General features: G+C 43.8%; 1 long non-coding RNA gene across 3 annotated transcripts in view, besides 2 other annotated features; it reads right to left on the minus strand.

Moving 5' to 3' along the window:
- LOC107986129 (uncharacterized) overlaps positions 1–22,238 on the minus strand; it is a 90,956-nt gene that overhangs the window by 56,054 nt on the left and 12,664 nt on the right. For 2 of the 3 annotated variants that reach the window (XR_001740898.2, XR_007096070.1), the window contains exon 1: positions 199–308. The exons of the other annotated variant lie outside the window; for it this stretch is intronic. This is a non-coding gene — a long non-coding RNA (uncharacterized LOC107986129). Of the gene's footprint in view, positions 1–198; positions 309–22,238 lie in introns of those variants that run through there. 3 annotated transcript variants of the gene reach the window in all.
- Positions 2,303–2,492: an enhancer, noted in NCBI's record as "active region_20475". NCBI's record gives its function as "activates an Ori minimal core promoter by ATAC-STARR-seq in GM12878 lymphoblastoid cells {active_cell/tissue: GM12878}" and the evidence as "EXISTENCE:reporter gene assay evidence [ECO:0000049][PMID:35858748]".
- Positions 8,827–9,031: a silencer, noted in NCBI's record as "fragment chr3:127616018-127616222 (GRCh37/hg19 assembly coordinates)". NCBI's record gives its function as "represses an EF-1alpha promoter that drives an FKBP-Casp9 reporter gene in an ReSE screen in HepG2 liver carcinoma cells {active_cell/tissue: HepG2}" and the evidence as "EXISTENCE:reporter gene assay evidence [ECO:0000049][PMID:32094911]".

Below are 22,238 nucleotides of genomic sequence, written 5' to 3' on the forward strand. Positions count from 1 at the left end.
GAAGGGGCATATCACACAGTTTGGCAGACTGGATTACTGGCTCCCAGGCTGTGGGAGTAGACATCCATAGGCTTTGCCATGTAACTTTCACCCATAGGGGCGAGGTATACTTCCCCATCCTTGCTGTGCTTTGGCCAATGAGATGTCAGCAGAGGAGACGCAACAGAGGCTTGAAAGTACTTGCATGGCTGAGCTTACCATCTTTGCCTCTGCCATTCCCATGAGAGCATTCCTGGCTAGGTCCAAGGAGGATAAGAGACACGAGGAGCGGAGACACCCCAGCTGACCCACGGACCTGCAGTGAAAAGAAAAGCCACCCCACCAAGCCTAGATCAGATTAATTCAGCCAAGCTGCAACATCCAATGAGAACTGTTTAAAGCAATTGAGTGCTGAGGTGGTCTGTTACACAGCTGTACTGTTGCCACTGTGAACTGCTACTTGTCAGAATTTAGTGGGTGAGTGTCGGCGTCCCTGGCAAAACCCTCAAGGGCCCCAGATGAAAAGATGACCTACTTTCTGGCTTGAGCCACTGCCCCTCCCAGGCTCAGACTGGAAATTCTCCTCCCACAGCCACCCAGCGCTGATCACACAGTCCTGCCGACAGTGTGGCGGGGAGCCACATGAATGACAGGGCTTCTTTTACCCTCCAGGTTCTCTTTTCCCTTACCACTCCTAGAATCAAAAATGTCTCCAGCTTCTTCCCACTTAGCACAGAGCTGTTTACTCAGGAGTCCCTTAATACCTATTACTTGAATAGATTAATCAGTGAATGCATTAGAAGGTCATTTGCTAAGAGTGACAACGAGCCCATGGGAGTTGAAAGGTCCACCACTTAGAGTATCTAATGTATTGAAATACACCAATGACATTACGAACAAACAAGCAAAATTATATTTATGCAGAATTTGGTTTTGATTGCCTTTCATTTAAAATCTAGCTCTAATAATTCAACATTGACACACATTTAAATGGGATGCTGGGACCCCATGACCTAAGAGGTAAAATTCCATTAAATCTCTTCTAACCCTTCCAAAACTGGTGTTAAGGGAAACCTGTTGGCCTAAAAGAAACTTGTTCCTTGTACCAATAAACTCGCTTAATCACTCAGCAGAATTAAAATTGGATTCTTTACTGCTGTACTTCTCAGAACTTTTAATATGCTAATGTACATTGTACAGCTCTGAGAGGGGGAATTAGTATGCAGCATTTCCTAGGCCAATTTGGCCCCAGAACCCTGAGAACTTTTTGTGCTTAGGACATTTGTATGATTCATATCAGCCCATGGAACGCAGTTTGAGAAACTCTGGTCTTTTCCAATGACCTACAAGGTAATGAATCATTCTGTCAGTTACACAGTTATATTTGAATCCCACCTTCCTGGCCCTAAAGTGACTACCCCAGTGGTTGGTAACCTTTTTATGGTTACAGCACCCTGGAGGGGATTGAAAGAATCAAGGCAGGGGGCAGGAGGGGGTGGAAAGCCACTAAACAAGTCAGAAGTAATTGCAATAAAAACAACAAAGTTTCACAGGTCTATAAAAGAATCCATGGTTATCTCACTATTCACCCTGCAAAACCGGGTCTTTGAAGAGAAGTTGGTGACTGGGCCTGCGCTAATAAGAGAACGTTTTGAAGCAGTCTAGAGAATACTGCTTTCTGGCCCTGGCTGCCACAACACCACTCCCTTTAACTCTTATTGGTAATAAGCTGTCTCTGGAATTTCATGGCCCGATCAGTGCTGTGGCCACATATGGACTCATTTGTAATGAAACAAAGTGACATAACTGCAAAATACAACAGCATACCTGTCCTCAGAAACCACAGTACTGCAGTCAGCTCCTAGAGGGAGACTGCTGAGCCAATCATGCAAATTACACAGCACCAGAAATACAGGATCCATGATGAAATGACATCAAAAGGATCCCTGGTTTTCTCAATTGCATCTTTCAAAACAAACAAAAACAAAAGAAAAAGAAAAATGCCTCCAGCCCTCTTGGCCCTCCACAGGCATTGGAATGTCATTATACATGACCTTAGATCTACATGGGCTGAGTTCTTCAAGTCTGAAAGTACAGGAAACTCAGTGGCGGTCAAAAGGGCCTCTCTTAACTTTTCTCCATGGTGTACAACCATGGCCTGTGTCTGCTGTTCTGCCCCTTAGTGAGATACACCCAGCCAGCCAAGGGGTCTCCCGCAATGGAGCAGATGAGTCTGTCAGCTTGTGTATGTTACATATGAGTTCAAATTTCTCTTCAAAGAATTAATGTGTCAGTATGTTCAATTCTTTGCCTTCTACTTTTAAACTTAACTTCCTCATAAAGCAACCTTTTTCAATCACCTGCTCCACTCTGACTCATTCTGATCACCTGCTCCACCCTGACTCATTCCGATCACCTGATCCACTGTGACTCATTCCGATTACCCGCTCCACCCTGACTCATTCTGATTCTGATTTCCTGCTCTGCCATAACCATTTTTCCCGCCAAACCACTCACCCTGTCACTCTCTTTAAATTAGCCAATTGGAATTAGTTTAGCCTGTGCGGTCTAACCCTAGCCAATAGGGGACTGACACAGCAGCAGGGGCCACATGTGTCAGGAATAAGACCCCCTTCCCCTCCCTTGTCCAGGTGTGTGCTCACCATTGCTCCATCTGTGAGGGCACACCCTTCTATAGAAGTAAATTGCCTTGCTGAGAAGAAAAAAAAGAACATTTTATATTCAAGTCCTATTTCTTTTGCTGCAACGAAACTTTATTTATAACAGTCTGGGGGCTTGCCCATGATTACATTTCCTCCAGGGGCGGTCTCTGGTTCTCTCTTGTGAGGAAGTGCGCCCTGCCCCCTTGTGGCAGCCTCAGGGGTGAGAAATCAGGACCCACCCAGTGCGAGGAATAACCCAAGCTCTCAGCAATACTGAAAGAAACTGGCCAGCAGCCTAGGGTAAAGGATCCTCACACACTGTGGTGACGGGTCTGTGCACAGACCAAGGAAGGAGAAGCTGCAGGAGCCGGTAAAGTACTTCCTTGATGGTCAAATTCTGGAGGGCTAAATGTGTGTGTGCGTGAATGATCACAAACAACCCTACTTGCAGTGTTGTTCGTGTGGATGGTGACAAGTCCTACTGCTGGACAGAGTGAGTGGGCCCTCTCCATGGTTCCATAGCTACCTTGTATGGCTTAGGACAGATCCTGCCGTGGGATTTATACCAGCATGCCAACGCTAAGGGGGCCTAATTCTCCGTTGGGGGAGCAGCTAGAGAGGACAACATGAGTGGGAAGTGTGCAAGGGACCTTCAGAGGGGGAAAGGGAGGAAACAGGAAACAGGTCAACCTTCCAGGGCAGCAAGGCAAGACATCCCCTGGTTTAAGGGGTTGAGGCTTCCAGGGCAGGCAAAGCAAGACACCCCTGGTTTGAGGGGTTGAGCCTTCTGCATATTTCAGGGGATTGAACCTCACACAAACCTCCAGGAGTAGAAAAGGCAAGAAATTTCCAGTAGGGGAAGTTGAGCCTCATCCCAAAAGGTGAGAAATTTCCAGTAAGGAAAATTTCACCTTACCCCAAAATCATCAAGATGGGAGGGATAAAGATGGTAACAAGGATATCCCCCTGGATAGCCCCCTAGGTCTCATGTTAAAATACTGGAAGGATATTGAAAGGAGGCAAGGACCTGTCCCCTTTTTTCCCTTAAAAACAAATAGGGAAAAACCCAATCTGGCACCTCAAATGAAAAGTCAGAGGAGCCAGCCCTCATGCCTAAAGAATCCAGTGCATGAGATCCCCTAGACTATCTTCCTTCGCTCAGTGTCCCCAATCCTTCCCCTCAGGCGGCCACTGCCACCTCAGATCCCATTCCAAATCCTTCCTCTACTCACATTATCCCTCTTCCTTATAACCCTGACTCTTGGGAATTACCATCCCACCAGCCTGTTCCCTCCCAACCTAAATACCCCTCTCTAAAAGGACTCCAGCATGAGATAGAACAATGTAAAAAAGATATTCAGAATTTCCCATTTCCCTCCGTACCTAAGGGGCCAGCCTCGACGCTCTTCCATTTGAAATAAGTGCCACAAGGAGGGGAGGCCACTGGCTTTGTAAATGCTCTCTTAACCAGTTTAGAAGTCCGGAATTTTAAAAAGGAGCTTAAACTGCTACTAGATGACCCTTATGGGCAGATCAAATTGACCAATTCTTAGGACCTCAGTTATACACTTGGGTCAAGTTAATGTCTATCTTGGGCATCCCCTTTTCAAGGAAAGAAAGGAGTATGATTTGTAGGGCTGCTATGGTAGTTTGGGAATGTGAGCACCCTCCCGGTGAAAATGTTCCTACCGCAGACCAGAAATTCCCCACCCGAGACCCCCAGTGGGACAATAACAACGCAGACCACCGGGAAAATATGGAGTACTTAAGGGAGATGATAATAAAAGGAATTCAGGAATCAGCACCCCGAACCCAAAATCTTTCTAAAGCATTTGATATACAACAGGAAAAGGATGAAGGGCCTATGAGATTTCCAGATAGACTGAGGGAGCAAATGAGGCAACATGCAGGCCTCAATTTGGACGATACCCTTGGGCAAGGAATGTTGAAACTCCAATTTGTCACTAAAAGTTGGCCAGACATTTCAAAAAAGCTATAAAAGATAGACAGTTGGGAAGACCATGCCCTAAGTGAGCTTCTCAGAGAAGCTCAGAAAGTATACGTGAGAAGGGACAAAGAAAAACAGAAACAAAAGGCAAAACTTATGTTACCCACCTTCCAACAGATGGCTCCAAACCCAGGTACTTCTAGATAGAGTTTCCAGGGAACCAGAAACTGTAAAGGGGCCGAACCCTTCTTTAAAGGACCCCAGCCTCCATCTGGAGGGGCAAGGCCCTCGTCTACCAGGCCCCGCTAAAGAGTATGGGGGAGCAGGGTTAAAGAATCCCTGAACTAAGAGGGAGTAAGGGCAAGATAGGTGCTATAGATGTGGAAGAACAGACCACTTCAAGAGGGAATGTCCCGAACTAAGAAAGGAGAAAGAAGCCCTTCCACTCATGACTTTCGAGGAAGAATAGGGGTGTCAGGGGCTCTATCTCTTTTATCTTGAGTCCCACCAGGAGCCCTTGATACATTTAGAGGTGGGACCTAAACATGAGATTATCACCTTTTTACTCAATTCAGGGGCTGCTCGCTCCTCTGTTTGTTTCCCCCTGTCTAATGTTGTCTCTTCTTCAGAGGAGCTTTTAGTCTCTGGGGTAAAAGGGAAGGATGTAGAGTAAAAATTTTAGAAAGCACCAAAGTTAGATAGCAGGGTCGCTCAGCTCACATTCAGTTCTTGTTAATCCCTGAAGCAGAAACTAATTTATTGGGGGGGATTTAATGTTAAAGTTGGGCATAGGTCTACAAGTCAGTCCAAGAGGATTCCTCACCTCATTAAACCTACTCACCACTGCAGATGAAAAATATATTAATCCTAGTGTCTGGTCCAAAGAAGGGAACTGAGGGAAACTCCGAGTCCCTCCAATCCACATCAAGCTAAAAACCCCTGGAGAAGTAGTGAGAAGGAAGCAATAGCTTATTCCCCTACAAGGTAGGATAGGGTTGAAACGTATAATCGAAGGCCTTATTAAAGATGGGCTTCTCAAGTCCCGTATGTTCCCTTATAACACCCCCAATACTGCCAGTCAAGAAATCAGACGGGTCATACCAGCTAGTACAGGACCTTAGAGCTATCAACCAAATAGTTCAGACTACCCACCCCGTTGTCCCCTGTCCTTACACCATTCTCAGCAAGATTCCATATAATCATCAATGGTTTACTGTAATAGATTTGAAGGTTGATTTTGGGCATGCCCCCTGGCTAAAGATAGCCAAGATATATTTGCTTTTGAGTAGGAGGATCTCCACTGAGGGCGGAAACAACAATATCAATGGACAGTCTTGCCCCAAGGGTTCACAGACTCCCCTAATATTTTTGGTGAAATTTTAGAACAAGCATTAGAAAAAGTTTTCATTCCAGAACAAATATGCCTTCTCCAGTACATGGATGACCTTCTTATATCTGGTAAAGATATAGAGAAGGTAACTAACTTCTCTACACATATTCTTAACCATCTGCAGTTTGAGGAGCTAAGAGTCTCAAAAAAAGGAAGCTTCAGTATGTAGAGCCTGAAGTTAAATATTTAGGCCACTTAATAAGTGCAGGCAAGTGAAGAATAGGGCCTGAACGAATTGATGGAATCATGTCCCTACCCTTGCTTCAAACTAAACAAGAACTCAGGAAATTTTTAGGGTTAGTCACATACTGCCACTTACGGATTGACTCATATGCACTGCACAGTAAACTGTTACATCAAAAACTTGCCCAGGAGAAGCCTAACCCTCTCCTGTGGACTTCTGAGGAAGTTGATCAAGTCAAGGAGCTGACAGAAAGGCTCATAACTTCCCCTGTTTTAGCCTTACCCTCCCTAGAAAAGCCATCCCACATTTTTTTTTTTTTTTTTTTTTTGAGATGGAGTCTTGCTCTGTCGCCCAGGCTGGAGTGCAGTGGCATGATCTCGGCTCACTGCAAGCTCCACCTCCCGGGTTCACGCCATCCTCCTGCCTCAGCCTCCCGAGTAGCTGGGACTACAGGCGCCCGCCACCATGCCCGGCTAATTTTTTGTGTTTTTAGTAAAGACGGGGTTTCACCGTGTTAGCCAGGATGGTCTCGATCTCCTGACCTCGTGATCCGCCCGCCTTGGCCTCCCAAAGTGCTGGGATTACAGGCGTGAGCCACAGCGCCCGGCCCCACCTTTTTGTTAATGTGGATGGTGGGGTAGCTTTAGGAGTGCGGACACAAGAACACAGTGACCTCCAGCAGCCCGTGGCCTTCCTATCAAAGGTCTTAGACCCAGTCACTTGTGGATGGCCTCAATGCATCCAGTCCATCGCGCCTACGGCAATACTAGTCGAGGAAAGCAGAAAGTTAACGTTTGGAGGAAAATTGACAGTAAGCAAGCCTCACCAAGTTAGAACTATCTTAAATCAGAGGGCAGGGAGATGGCTTACTGATTCGAGTGCTATTTCTTTTGAGGCACCAAAACTTTATTTATAACATGTACAAGAGTCAATGATATTTTCCCATCATATCTTCAACCCAGGAAGCAGAATTCACATACAAGAAATGCACACACTATAAGGCATATACATATAATGTACAGCATGCCCAATTATAGGAATGTGTGACTTTGGGAAGCCCTGCAGGAGGGGTGGGCGATGGGGGAATCCACTCTCCACTTACCAAGCGCTTATACTAGACAACCATTAACCAGTTAGAAAATACAGTGAGAAAGAAATATTAATAATATGTAATATCTGAAAAATAAACTAAACAAGCAATGTTCATGAAGAGGAAAAAAAAACAATACTACCAAGGAACATAACAGATGACTCCAACAAAAGGAAAGGCATTATTTGGATCTTGGATAGAATACTCCAAATTGCAAAATTATTTCATTTTTCCAAATAAATAATATTTTTTTTGCAATTCCAAATGAAATTGCAAAACGATTTTTCTTAGAAATTAGACAAAATTATTTTAAAATTTGAGTTGAAAAACAGATGCATAAGGATAACCAAGAAAATTTTGAGAAAGACAAGAAACTTACCCTGGCACATATTAAAGAATATTATAAAGCTATAGGGATGAAAGTATAATGTTACTCAGCCAGGAAAAACAGATAGCACAACAGGTTAAAAAAAAAAAAAGAGTGCATAAAGGGACAGAAATAAATAGGGAAATTTGTTATAGGAGAAAGAATTTCAAATCAGATGGATCATGTAATAAATGGGATTGGAACAATTAGCTCAATACCTGGAAAAAGACAAAAGAAACCTGGATCTCCATATTACTCTGTTGAACAAAATAAATTCCAAATGGGTCAAAATTTAAAGATTTAAAATATATGAAGCCATACACACATTGGAAGAAAAACTGGTACATTTGTAATAAACTTGTGTCCATTTTGTGTTGCTATAACAGAATGCCTGAGACTGGGTAATTCATTTTTAAAAGAGGTTTATTTAGCTGTTGGTTCTGCAGGCTGGGAAGTTCAAGAAGCATGGCACCTTATCAGTTAGGTTTTGGGGAGGGCCGCATGCTGGGTCAGAACATGCAAAGAGGCAAAACCCATGGGCATCTGCTTTATAACAATGTGCTTTCTTGTGGGAACTAATCCATTCCCAGGGAAACTCCCTCATTACCAGGAGTCCAGCACCAAACTGTCCATGAAGGATCCATCCTCACCACCCAAACACCTCCTACTAGGCCCCACCTCCCAACACTGCCACACCGGGGATCAAATTTCAACATGAGTTTTGGTGAGGACCAACTCAATCCATAGCAACTTGGACGGGAAAAACATTTCTAAACATGTTGTGAAACCCAGAAAACACCAACGACAGATATTTTTAAAACTCCACAGAGTTGGAAGACAAAAGGAGGAAAGTATTTATAATACACTACAGAAAGAAAAGCTAACATTTAAAATATCATTTATATCTCAAACCTCAAATAAACCAATAATAAATAAAGCAAACCTGTAAGAGAAAAATGGGCAAAGTAGAATGAGAAATATTATGAAAGAATACAAATACAAATGGACAAAACCATATGAAAAGATTTACAACTGTACCAATAATAAAAAATGAAAATAAAAATAAGAAAACATTTCTTGACTAACAAAAGAGTACAGATGTGAAGGACTAGGCCAAGCTCAGTGGCTCACACCTGTAATCTCAGCACTTTGGAGAGGCCAGGTAGGAGGATCATTTGAGCCCAGGAGTTCAAGACCAGCCTGGGCAACATGGTGAAACCCTATCTCTACCAATATCCCCCTCTCTACCAATTAGCTGGGCGTGGTGGCACATGCCTGCAGTATCAGCTATTCAGGAGGCTGAGGTGGGAGGATCACCTGAGCCCAAGAGGTCAAGGCTGCAGTGAGCCTTGATCACGTCACTGCACTCTAGCCTGGGTGACAGAGTGAGACCCTGACTAAAAATATATAATAATAATAATAACATAAATAAAGATGCAACCTTTAGAAGGGCATATTACTGATAGAAGTGCAGGAAGAAATTTGAAGTGAAGAGTGAACAGGAGGTCCAGAAAATGATCCAATTACATGTGAGTGTTTAGTTTATGATAAAGGTGGCATTTTAAGTTAGTAGGAAAAAGATAAATTATTTAATAAATGATGGATTCACTGTACTATTTAGGAAGAAGAGGAATACTCTTCTTTCATTGCAATTGATTCAAGATGGATTAAAATTTTAAATGTAAAAAATACATGCAAAAGAGTACTAGAAAACACAACAGAACAATTTTGTAATGTTTAGTTGCATCTGTTCAGGGAGGGGGCTTCTAAGTATCTAAGTATGAAACCCAGGAGCCCTAAAAAGAAAAGATGAATAAATCCGATTAAATAACAAAGTTTAAATTCTATGTTTAAAAGCACGATAAAATTAAAACGCAATTTTTTTTTTTTTTTTTTTGAGATGGAGTCTCACTCTGTTGTGCAGGCTGGAGTGCAGTGGCGCAATCTTGGCTCACTGCAACCTCCGCCTCCCGGACTCAAGTAATTCTCTTGCCTCAGCCTGCCAAGTAGCTGGGATTACAGGCACTCGCCACCACAACCGGCTAATTTTTGTATTTTTAGTAGAGACAGGGTTTCACCATGTTGGCCGGGCTGGTCTCAAACTCCTGACCTCAGGTGATCTGCCTGCTTTGGCCTCCCAAAGTGCTAGTATTACAGGCGTGAGCCACTGCACCTGGCCTAAAACACAAATCTTACACAAGGAAAAATACAATATTTACAATCAATATAACAAAGTCTTCCTAGAGAAAGAGAATCAAAATGTTAACAATGGTTATCTCTGGGTGATCTTTATTTTCTTTTTTACAATGCTTCATACTTCTTTATCACTGAGTATAATATTTTCATAAAAACAGAAACCCTTAAAAAAATTAAAACCAAAGAAAAGATAATTGTTTATAAAAATTTTTGAAACAGGAGTGGGGAATTAGACTTTCTGAGCTTGGAGGCATGAGAAGGAAAGCAAACCTTTTGCTAGGTGGGGCCAGACTCACTTATCCAATGGCATCCCCGAAATCTCCAGCTGGGTGTCTCATAGGCTCTCAAACTATCCAACCACAATGCAACTCTTGGTGCCTACACACACAGAGGATATGAGACATCTAAACCTCAGATGCCAAAACATGAAGTCAATATAGAACTTTTAAAACGGATAAATCAAGAAATAACAGGGTTTGCTATTTTTTGCTAAAAGCCTTTTTAGTACTCTCATCAGTGAAAAGAGTAAGGAAAGAGGATGTCCCTTTGTCCTTGAGGATGACCCAGAAGTTGCCCACACAACTTCCTCCTACATGCCATTGGCCTGACCTAGTCATGGCCATATCTAGCTCTAAGGAGGACTAGGGAACATCGTCTTTATTCTAGGCAGTCAGGTGTATAAATTCTGTTACAATGGAAGTAGGAGAGGATGGGTATTGAAGGACCACACTCTCTGCCACAATTCCAGCATAGCATGTAGTACATAACCTTATCTGTATAAAATACGCCCCTACACTCAACACACATGCACCTTGATGGATGTGAGGATACTTTAAAAATATTGGGACTTTGGGTGAGTTTTATTATCTTCCTTGAACTTTTCTGCATTGGTTGAATTTTACATAATGGGCATAATTTTCAATATGGCTTTATTTTTCCCAAAATGAATAACATAGATTAAATCTAGGGCCAGAGACTGTCACCAGGTGTCACAGATCAGCTCCCCAGGAAACAGGCTCTGAGGCTGAAACGTGTGTGTAGGTGGCCTACTAGGGAGTGCATGTGGGTCAACACTTGTAAGGCGGCCAGAGAGAAGCTGGGCTGGCCAGAGAGAAGCTGGCCAGAGAGAAGCTGGGCTGCCATGCAGTTGCAATCCAGGCCTCAGCTGACCTCCTGGGGGCTCTGCATGTAAGATGACCCTTTGGAGTTATCCCGAATTCAGGACCTCTGTGACGTGTTGCAGACAGCCTCTAGGAGGGGAAGAAACCTCAGGCAAGGGAGCTCCTTTCAGCGCAGGGCAATTCCTGGAGGGGACTGAGCTAGAAGCCCTCAGCAGCTAGCACTCCGCTGCTGGTGGAATGCATCTCCATGCTGAAGGGGGAATGTGGGTGGGCACCATTGCAGCCACAGTGCCGGGGTAGAGATAGAAAGGCATGGCTTGGGGCTGGTAGAAGGAAGGAAAGGAAAGTGAGAAGCATTCTCTTAAACATGGTATGTGCCATGTGTTTTTCACTCTGTGTTATTTAATCTTCTCAATAGTCTTGCAAGATGAATGCTTCATTTCACCATTTTTATATGTATGGAAACTGAAGTTCAAGGATATTAGTAAAATCTGTCTAAGAAGAGGGAGTAGGTAAATAATAGAATCAGGATTCAAACCCAGACAGGGACATCTTTCTCCAAAGCCCTGTGCTACCACCAGCATTAAGTCACAAAAATTGAGGCCTTGTTTGGATTGACTAGGATGAAAACTGCTAACAGCATCAAAAAAGGCCTTTAAAACCATGTGGGCAACAAGAACAAAGAAGTGAAAGTTCTGCTGTAAGGGAAGAGTAGTGTAAGTAGATTAATAATAGAAGGCAGAACCACTTCATGCAGCTACTATTTTTCTTCAGATCTTCCTCAGGAAAGACACCGGTTTTAAAATTAAACGTGTGGCAAAAGTGCGTAACCTGAATCTAAGCAGGAAAAATCATTAGACAAGCCCAAATAGAATAACTCTATAAAATAACTGGTCTGCACTTTTCAAAAATGTCAAGGTCAGGAAAGGCAGAGAAAAGCTGAAGAACTGTTCCTGATGAAAGAAGGCTAAAGAGAAATGACAAGTAAAGGAATGTGTGCTCCTGGATTGGAGAAAACTGTATAAAGGACGGCGTTAGGACTTAGGCAAATTTTAATATGGGTTGTATATACAATAATAGTTTTGTTACTGATGTTAAATGTCTCAATTTTGGTAATTACACCATAGATATATAAAAGAATATACCTGTTTCTAGAATTACATGCTTAAATCTTCTTTTTGGGGGGGTGGAGGAGGGGGTTTGGGGGGACAGGGTCTGGCTTTGTCACCCAGGCTGGAGTAAAGTGGCAAAATCACAGCTCACTGCAGCCTCGAACTCCTGGGCTCAACTGATCCTCCCACCTCAGCCTCCAGAGTAGCTGGGACTACAGGCACATGCCACCATGACCAGCTAATTTTTTGTATTTTTGTAGAGACGGGGTCTCGCCATGTTGGTCAGTCTGGTCTTGAATTCCTGGGCTCATGAAATCTTCCCATCTTGGCCTCTCAAAGTGCTGGGATTCCAGGCATGAGTCACATGCCCAGCCACTTAAGTCTTTACGGGTGAAGAGTTACAGTGTCTGGAGTTGATTCTCAAATATTTAGAAAAAATAAAATTATATATAAATTTAAAAATTGTATAAATATAAATAAATGTGTGTATGTATGCACACACACATGAATAAACACGGTAAAAAGTTAATAACTGGTCAACCTAGGTGAAAGTTATATGAGGAAGCCCTGAAATAGTCTTGCAACTTTTTTGTATGTTTGAAAATTTTTTTTCTTTCTTTCTTTTTTTTTGAGACGGAGTTTCGTTCTTGTTGTCCAGGCTGGAGTGCAGTGGCACAATCTCCAGCTCACCACAACGTCTGCCTCCTGGGTTCAAGTGATTCTCCTGCCTCAGCCTCCCGAGTAGCTGGGAACAGGCATGTGCCACCACACCTGGCTAATTTTGTATTTTTAGTAGAGACAGGGTTTCTCCATGTTGGTCAGGCTGGTCTCAAACTCCCAATCTCAGGTGATCTGCCTGCCTCAGCCTCCCAAAGTGCTGAGATTACAGGCGTGAGCCACCGTGCCTGGCCGAAAATTTTTCAGAATGAAAGGAGAGAGAAATACATTCCAAAAGCAGGTGAGCCAGTAGGATGAGAATATTCAGCCACTCTAAAGGAACTCAGATCTGACAACACAGGCTCCTGATGGGCAAACATTGCAATTGCCAGAAAGTGGATTATGATCACTGTAAATTGGTAAGCTTGAACTTGTTTCATGGACAAATTCTGGTAGGTATTCTCTAATGGACAGTTTGTGAACCCTTAGCAAAACTTGTGAGAGTCTCTATGGGTCAATATGATCTCCTCTACAAAAGTAAATAAATAAATATATGCAAATTAAGTCAAACTACCCTTATTTTCTTTTCTAAGATAAGTTTTTACAAATGATCATCATCATTTGTAAAATCATCATCAAAGTGAACCTTAATTTTGGCACATTTTTTTTTAATGGGTCCCACTCTGTTGCCTGGGCTGGCCTTGAACTAGGCTCAAGTGATCTTCCCACCTTAGCCTCCTGAATAAGCTGGGACTATAGTTGTGTGCCACCACATGCCTGGCTTGATTTTAGCCAAGTTTTTAGCCAAGTGGTTCGTACATCTTCCTGGATAAGCTAATATAACACTTGAGGGCATTTTTACAGCAACTTCAACATCACTCAGAGAAAATGGGCTGAATCTGCTTAGGGTAGCATATTAGTTTCCTGAGGCTGCTGTAACAGATTTGGGGGCTTAAACAGTAGAAACTTATTTTCTCACAGTTCTGGAGGCTGCACGTCCAAGACCAAGGTGTTGGCAGGGTTGGTTCCCTCTGAGGGCTGTGAGGAAGCATCTGTCCCAGGCCCCTCTTCTTGGCTTGTAGGCGGCCACCTTCATGTTCACATAGTGTCTGCCATATGCATGCCTGTCTCCAAATTCCCCTCCTTACAAGGACACTAGCCAGACTGAATTCAAGCCCACCCTCATGGCCTCATTTCAACTTGAACGCCTGTGTACACAACTTCTCTCAAATGAGGTTACATTCTGAGGTACCAGGGGTTAGAACTCCAACACATGAATTTGCAGGGGGGCACAATTCAACCCTTAACAGAGAGGTACCTCTAGTAGAGTGCCACAAAGCCCTGCTCTGTTAAACTCTATCCAGAGAAGACAAGAGAGGACCCACCGATCCCATTTGGGGACCGTATGAAAATGCAAAGGGAAAATACCAAGTAGATGATGCAGCAGGGAACAGGTCGGGAGCTAGAGGATGGGGCCCATGGCCAGCTCCCTTACCAAGAGCTGTGCCATCCTGGAGGTCACCATTTTCCATCCTGAGACTCACATCTTCCTGGGTGGCGTGGGGATTACAGGAGAGAAGGAGCAAAAGGCATTATGCAAACTGTGAGCTCAAATAACCCACTAATCACAGGCACCGCCGCATGCTGGGAGGCTTACTAGGAGCTGCTGAGGCGACTACTGGTCAGCTGGATCCAATTGTCACTGCTTCTACGACTGTCTTGAGCAGGCTTGGGAGACAGGGATTTACTAATCTTCAAATCCAATTGTGTGCATTTTCATAAAACATATTCAGATTTCCATCCATCTCCATTCTTCAGAAGACTTTAAACATCCAGTCCTTTGATTCTTCACAGCTTCACTCTAGACACCTTCTCAGACTTCTCATGCCATCTCCTCTCCCAATCACCCAAAGGGGCCATCCCAAGCCCCCTTATTTCTTCCCGTCTGACTTTTACAGTAAAAGTCTATTTCTCCACACCCCGTGGAGACGGCTGATGTTCCTGCCTCTGCTTCGGCTGCCATTTCTTCTGCTCACCCTGCCTCAGCCCCACAATCTCCTTCCTCCTCTAAGGTTTAGAATCTCCCCCTCACCAAGGGGTCTTGGTGTTCACCCTTACACAAGATTTTGCACTTCTATCTTAACACATCCTTTCTTAGCATGAGGTCCTCTCAAGCTTCAGTGGTGTTTCCCAGGTTTTTCCCACATGATCTTAGTCTGCATCATACCCAGACCCACAGTCACATCAGAAATCCAGAGGTCCCTAAGTCAAGGACATTTAGGAAATGCTTTGTCTCTTAACCACAGGATCACTAGCACTTTTAAGACTGCATTCTAATTCTCCAAAAAAGGACATAGAACTTGGCATTTCCCAAACTGTTCTTAGAACTCTGTATTCCAGAATATCCTGAGGGACTGATGTCCCACTATCACAAGTGCTGGTCTGGACCCAGTGTCCCCACTTCCTGTTGTTCTGTGAAAGAGATGGCTAACTGTTCACCAAAAATCCTTTCTGCACTTCTTCTTGGACCCAGAGCCAGACTAGTTTCCTAAACTTCCTTGCAGCTTGACGTGATCATATGGTGTAGTTCTTCCCAGTGGAATGTGAGCAGGGTGAGATGTGCCTCCTGTAGGCCTGACCTGTGCAAACCTCCTACATGGTCTTTTCCACACCCTTTCCCTTCTGAATGAGCAGGAGGCCATGGAGAGCCACCAACAGCCAGGGCCCCAGTGGTCACGGGGGAAGCTGCCTTGATAGCTGACACCTGCCTGAGGCTGCTGCCTGGGCAAAAGATAAGCTTCTAGTGTGGTAAGCCATGCACGCTGAGGCCGGTGATTTCTCAGCCTCACTCTACACTGCCTGCTTTCTCCTTTACTCCATGTAATTTACCCTCTGCTTTCTGTCTTGCCACTGACACAGCCCAGGAACATTGTCAGTGACTTTTTAGCCAAATCCTGAGGATTTATCCCAGTTCTTTACCTCTTTACATAATCTGACCCTCTTCAACACCACTTCCTCCTCGCTGGGTATCTGCAACCATGTTGTCTCTGTCTGTTGTTCTTCAGCTGTAGAATATTTCATCTTTTTATCTCCTTCATTATCGTCTCCTCCCCCACTCTTCCCCCAGCTTTTAGTGTGCCTCTGCTCATTGTGTTTGGTCTTGCTTTTCTAACATAGTTTCATCTCTGATCTCATGGCTTCTGTCATCTCATCCATGCAGTCATTCAGGGCTCCAGGCTGAGGCAGCTCATCAGATACACATCTCTCTCCCTAATCTTAAGAATACCTATGCCCTAGGCCCTAATTTCTAAGTTACTATAGGATGTCTTCACTTAGAATCATAGACCATACAGTGGAAGTGCCCATGGAGACAGTCCACTGAATTCCCCGAAACTCATTTCTGTCCTTCAGGTCACCTCCTCAGAGAGGCCTTCTCTGATTGCCTTATATATGGTATCACTCCAACCCACCTTTTCTAGCCCCTTATCCTGATTTATTTTTCCTCATAGCACTTATCACTGCATGGAAATATATTCCAATCTTGTTTGTGGTCTGCCTCTCTAGCTTACACTAGAATGTAAGCTCTGTAGGGCAGGGGCTTTCATCTTTTGCTGTATTATTGGTGCTTAGATCAGTGCCTGACACAAGCAGGTATTCAATAAAACCTTGTTGAAGGAACTTAGGCTCAAAGTTTCTTCTGCTCAAAGTCTTATATTTAGTTGTAGCATTTAGACTTCACTCAGTTCTTCTGACCCCTGTCCTGGGCTCTTTCCACTGCCCAATCATCTTAAATCACTTCAAACTCACAATTTCTAAAAAGGAGCACTACCCGTCGCCATTTGCTGATCCCATTTCTACCACTGATCCTTTATTCTTCCAGTGTCCCACGTTAAAGGCTGCTAAACCTGTAGTTGTCTTCAATTCATCATCCCTATCATCTAGGTAGAATCCCTTTGCTTATCTTTGCCTCTATTCCAACACTTCACCTTACCCCCCCAAAATAAATTTTTGTTCTCTTCCTGCTTCCATCCTCAGTTCCATACAAAGCATCTTGGTGACCTCTAAATATTAATTTCCTAGAATAATTCTGGAGGGACATCCAAGAAACTGATAATAGTCCCTTTGGAGATGAGAAACTAGAATTTGGGGGATTGGGGTACATATGCTTTTGAATGGCATGAATTTTTACTAGTTGCATTACGTATTTTGCAGTAAAAACATTTTAAAATATTGTGTTTTATGTCCAGATTTATTTTAAGGCTCAACTCTTTTGAGGGGAAAATAAATCTCTTAAATTGCCCAGGCTAAAGCTATAACATGAAATCACTGTCAGATAAAGAATATAATAGTTCCAAGAAGGAAGGAAGAACCTATTGCTAATGAGCCTGAGAAAGGGGCATTGGTTTCTTGGGCCTTTTGTGCCCACGAAGAGAGCAATTTCAGCAGAGTGGTGAGTGCAGAAGCAGGGAGGTAATGAGTAGCAAGGAAATCAATAGCACCAGCTCAAGCTACACATTTTACACTTTGCCAGTGAAAAGGAAAGATGAGAGAAAGTTGCTAGGAAGGGCAGCAAAAGTAGCTAAGAGGTTTTTGGAATTTTTTTAAGATTAAAAAATTGTTTCTACGTTTGAAAACGAAACAAAGGGAGAATTAATATGTGAGAGACTGATTACCTGGCACCTCACCAGATTGTATTCTCTAAGGGACAATGTCTGTCTTACTCACACAGCTGGATCTAGCTATAAGACACGGGATATATAGACCAATGGAACAGAACAGAGGCCTCAGAAATAATACCACACATCTACAACCATTTTATCTTTGACTAACCTGACAAAATAAGCAATGGGGAAAGGATTCCCTATTTAATAAATGGTGTTGGGAAAACTGGCTAGCCATATGCAGAAAACTGAAACTGGACCCCTTTCTTACACCTGATACAAAAATTAACTCAAGATGGATTAAAGACTTAAATGTAAGACATAAAACCATAAAAACCCTAGAAGAAAACCTAGGCAATACCATTCAGGACATAGGCATGGGCAAGGACTTCATGACTAAAACACAAAAAGCAATGGCAACAGAAGCCAAAATTGACAAATGGGACCTAATTAAACTAAAGAGCTTCTGCACAGCAAAAGCAACTATCATCAGAGTGAACAGGCAACCTACAGAATGGGAGAAAATTTTTGCAATCTATCCATCTGACACTGCAATCTATCCATCTGACAAAGGGCTAATATCCAGAATCTACAAAGAACTTAAACAAATTTACAAGAAAAAACAAACAAACCCATCAAAAAGTAGGTGAAGGATATGAACAAACACTTCTCAAAAGAAGACATTTATGCAGCCAACACACATATGAAAAAAATGCTTATCATCACTGGTCATTAGAGAAATGCAAGCCAAAACCACAATGAGATACCATCTCACACCAGTTAGAATGGCAATCATTAAAAAGTCAGGAAAGAATAGATGCTGGAGAAGATGTGGAGAAATAGGAACGCTTTTGCACTGTTGGTGGGAGTGTAAATTAGTTCAACCATTGTGGAAGACAGTGTGGTGATTCCTCAAGGATCTAGAATGAGAAATACCATTTGACCCAGCAATCCCATTGCTAGGTATATACCCAAAGGATTATAAACCATTCTACTTTAAAGACACATGCACATGTATGTTTATCGCAGCACTGTTCACAGTAGCAATGACTTGGAACCAACCCAAATGTCCATCAATAATAGACTGGATAAAGAAAATGTGGCACATATACACATGGAATACTATGCAGCCATAAAAAAGGATGAGTTCATGTCATTTGCAGGGACATGGATGAAGCAAACTAACACAGGAACAGAAAACCGAACACTGCATGTTCTCACTCACGATTGGGAATTGAACAATGAGCACACATGGACACAGGAAGGGGAACATCACACACCAGGGCCTGTGAGGGGGTGGGGGCTAGGGGAGGGATAGCATTAGGAGAAATACCTAATGTAGATGGGTGCAGCAAACCACCATGGCACGTATATACCTATATAACTAACCTGCACGTTCTGCACATGTATCTCAGAACTTAAAGTATAATAAAAAAGATATAAACATTAAAAAAATAAACACAGGCTCTACCATATCTAGACATAGTACCTACCTATATGTGGCACAAAATAGGTGCTCAATAAATATCTATTAAATGACTAGAGGGATGGACAGATGGAGAGGGAGGTATTACCCTCTCAACATTAATGCCAAGTTACTCTGATAACAGGAAAATACAACATCCATAGTTCAGGTGAGAGTTTAGGGAGAGGTTGGGGTTCCACAGGTCACATTGGTGGATCATACGCTGGATCCCAACCTTTCTTTGCAACATGGTGTGAGGTTCTCTGCTCCCACACTTCTCCCATGCTTCTCTGCATTAGCAGGTGGAAGGAAAGGGCTGGAACATTATTAAAGAAGAATTATTTGGGAGAAGAGCTATAACAACAACAGTAGGTGAAAGCACATGACTGGAAAATAAAAACTTACATGTGCTCTACATAGAAGCTGTTCATTTTCAAACATAAATCAATTCACCTTGTGGGCCTCATATGTGCCAGCCGTGTGCTGAGCCCTGGGATGCAGAGATGATGCCGTCGCTCTCTGCCCTGGAGAAGCTCAGCAGTCAGCGGGGCACGAGACCCTAAACCACTGTGATGCCACGGGCCAAAGGCCATCTACCAGTGCAGGACACAGTGGGAGTGCTCTGGGAACACAGACGACGGCATCAGTAATTCCACAGTGATCTGTTCCAGGAAAGATACAAAGAAGAGGTAATGTTTGAGCTTGGGAGATGGTGAGAAGTTTCCTAATTATATTTATTAATTTACTCAGCAACTATTTATTGAGCACCTAATCTGTGCCAAGCACTGTGCTGGGCTCTGGGGACAGATGAATGAGCAGAGACAGACACAGTCCCTGCCCTCACAGCATTTACAGCTTAGTTGGGAGAAGAGTCATTAATCACACAATAACATGTGCCAAGGCAAAAGTAAACCGGAGACAAGGGACGGAAAGGAGAGGCACGAGGCTTTATGAGAACTGACAAGGCTGTTTGTGTGAATCCATAGAAACTATAGAAACCAATGCATTTACAGAAAGTGTGCATGGCAAAGAGTGCTCCCTATATCTTAATGTTGTCCTCCCCTTCTTCTGAATAAAAGAACTGCTGGCCACCCAGGAAGACTACATTTCCCAGCCCCAACCCCCTGGGTTTGCCACGTGACTCAGGGCCAATGGTATGAGAAGTGAAGTGTGATTTCTGGGTGTGCCCTTAAAGGGAAGGGCTTGTCTTCCCCTTCCTCTTCTTAACTTCCCCTTCCTCTTTTTAACTTCCCCCTCCCCTCCCTTCTCCCATTGGAGGTAGGGTGAGCCATCTTGGAGCACGTGGACGAGAGCAATACTTTTGGGAAGGTGGAACAAGAAGAGAGAAGGAAACTCGGGGGGCAGTCAGTGACATCCTGGAGCCACTTTAGAGCCTTGGAATGCTCCCACCTTAGCAGTTGTGTGAAAGGGAATTCACTTCTGTCTGGTTTAGGGAATCCTCATTCTAATTCTTTGTTAGAGCAGCCAAGCCTATATATCTTAATTCATACAGTATACAAGATCACTGGTCATTGCTTAATAATGAAACAATAACAATTAGTCCTGCCTGTGTTAAGAAACTACTTGGACCCTGTCTAAAACAGAATTTGAGTATTCATATATTCAGGATTTGAGGATTTAATTGTGGGCAGAAATGAAATAATCTTGAAATATGGAGAGAATGCTGGCTTCCGGAGGGTTTCATGACCTTTTAAAAACCCAATATCTACTAGATTAAGTTGTGTAAAACCTCAAATACTCCAAGGATGGAAAGTCTGAACATGACTTATCATCATGGGCATGGAAGAGTGTGGCTGAAGACACAGATAGTAACTCCATTCCCCATGCTTCCCTGAGATGCACTCTTAAAGTGGAAGAGCCTCCAAAAGAAATACAGTCCATCTCTTGCCTCAAGACAGGATGAAATCAAGATCAGCAATAAGAGAAGGCTTTACGTCCCATTTTCAAGATCTTTAGGAAAGGAGTTTCTATTAATAACACATGCCTTATGGGGAAATGACTTCATGTTACTATACAGTTTATCAAAGCACTTCCACACCCATTAGCTCTCCTATTTCATTCTCCTAATAACATGGATGAGAGACAGACCCATTATCATTTGCCTATCATACTCCAAGAATCTGAATGACTTCCATAGGCCAAGAGGTCTTAGGGAGCAGAGCCGGGCCAGGACCCCAGGGATCTCATCCCCAGGTCCACCTTCCTTTTTGCTTACCTGCTTTTCCTCTCAATAACCTCAAATCAGTCCCTGATCTTCTGTTCTCTTAAGGGCCTGAGCTAGGCAGGTGAGTGGACCATAAAGGTGAACAGGACAGAGTTCTTCGTCTGCAGGAGCTCTTGGGGTTGGCTAGGGAAACAGGACAGGTACGTCCACATGGCCACTGTATGAAGCTCTGTAGGGTGAGCATCATGTAATGGGCCCTGGCAACAATGCTCCGAGCTCCAAGCCCTTCAGACCAGGACAGTTAGGAAGGACAAAAAATGAAGGAGCTGTGACTGCTGGAAGCCCCACCCTCCCACAGGTGCTGACCCTGAAGCTGCAGGCATTGATGTACACACACACACACACACACACACACACACACACAGCAGTGGGTGAGACTAAACACATCAGGCCTGCCAGCCTGTTCTTGGAAGTCAGCACTCAAGTTCAGGCTCCAAGTCCTCTGGCCTCTGCTCTCTACCACGTCATCACCATCTAGTGCTTTTTACGTGCTGTTTTTAGTCCTGTTCTCCACTCTTCCTTTCCTCCTGAGCCTCTCCTCTGTGCTTTCTGGACCGTCCCCCACGTGGCCACCCCAGCTCTCTTTAGGATGCCACTCACCTTTAGCCTTCTCCAGTGGTAGTGGTTTAGCTTCTCACAGGTCACGAACCTCAGGAGGAGGGGGCAAGGGGCAATACACCTTCCAACCCTCCAACTAGAGAAGCTGACACAGATCAAAGAAATGCTTAAGCTAGATTTCCTGGACCATCCCAAAGTCAGGGTGCAGACCTGTGACTTGCCTCTGTCATCAGAGGCCCTCCCAGGAGACCTGGAGGTGGAGGGGAGGTGGGAGCCTGAGAGAGACACAGTCATCTGGTAGGCACTATGAGGGAAGAGTCTGATGCAGCTGTGGAAGCTTCTGGAGTTCCGTCTTGGAACAGGGGCGGAGCAGCATGGGGCAGGGGCATTTCTTTTGGCTGAAGAAGAGCCATCACTCCCAGGGCTGTAACATCTGAACCCGCTTGTGTGGTGTTCCCAGACAAGCCAGAATGAATTCCACTCTGTAACTGAGACTCTGACCCACTCACTTGTTCATTCACTGTGCTGACATTTGCTGAGTACCTACTTTGTGCCAGGCACTTTCCCAGGGGCTGGGAATACAGCAGTGAACACGACAGATG

The sequence above is a fragment of the Homo sapiens genome, chromosome 3, assembly GCF_000001405.40.
Source record: "Homo sapiens chromosome 3, GRCh38.p14 Primary Assembly".
NCBI lineage: Eukaryota > Metazoa > Chordata > Mammalia > Primates > Hominidae > Homo > Homo sapiens.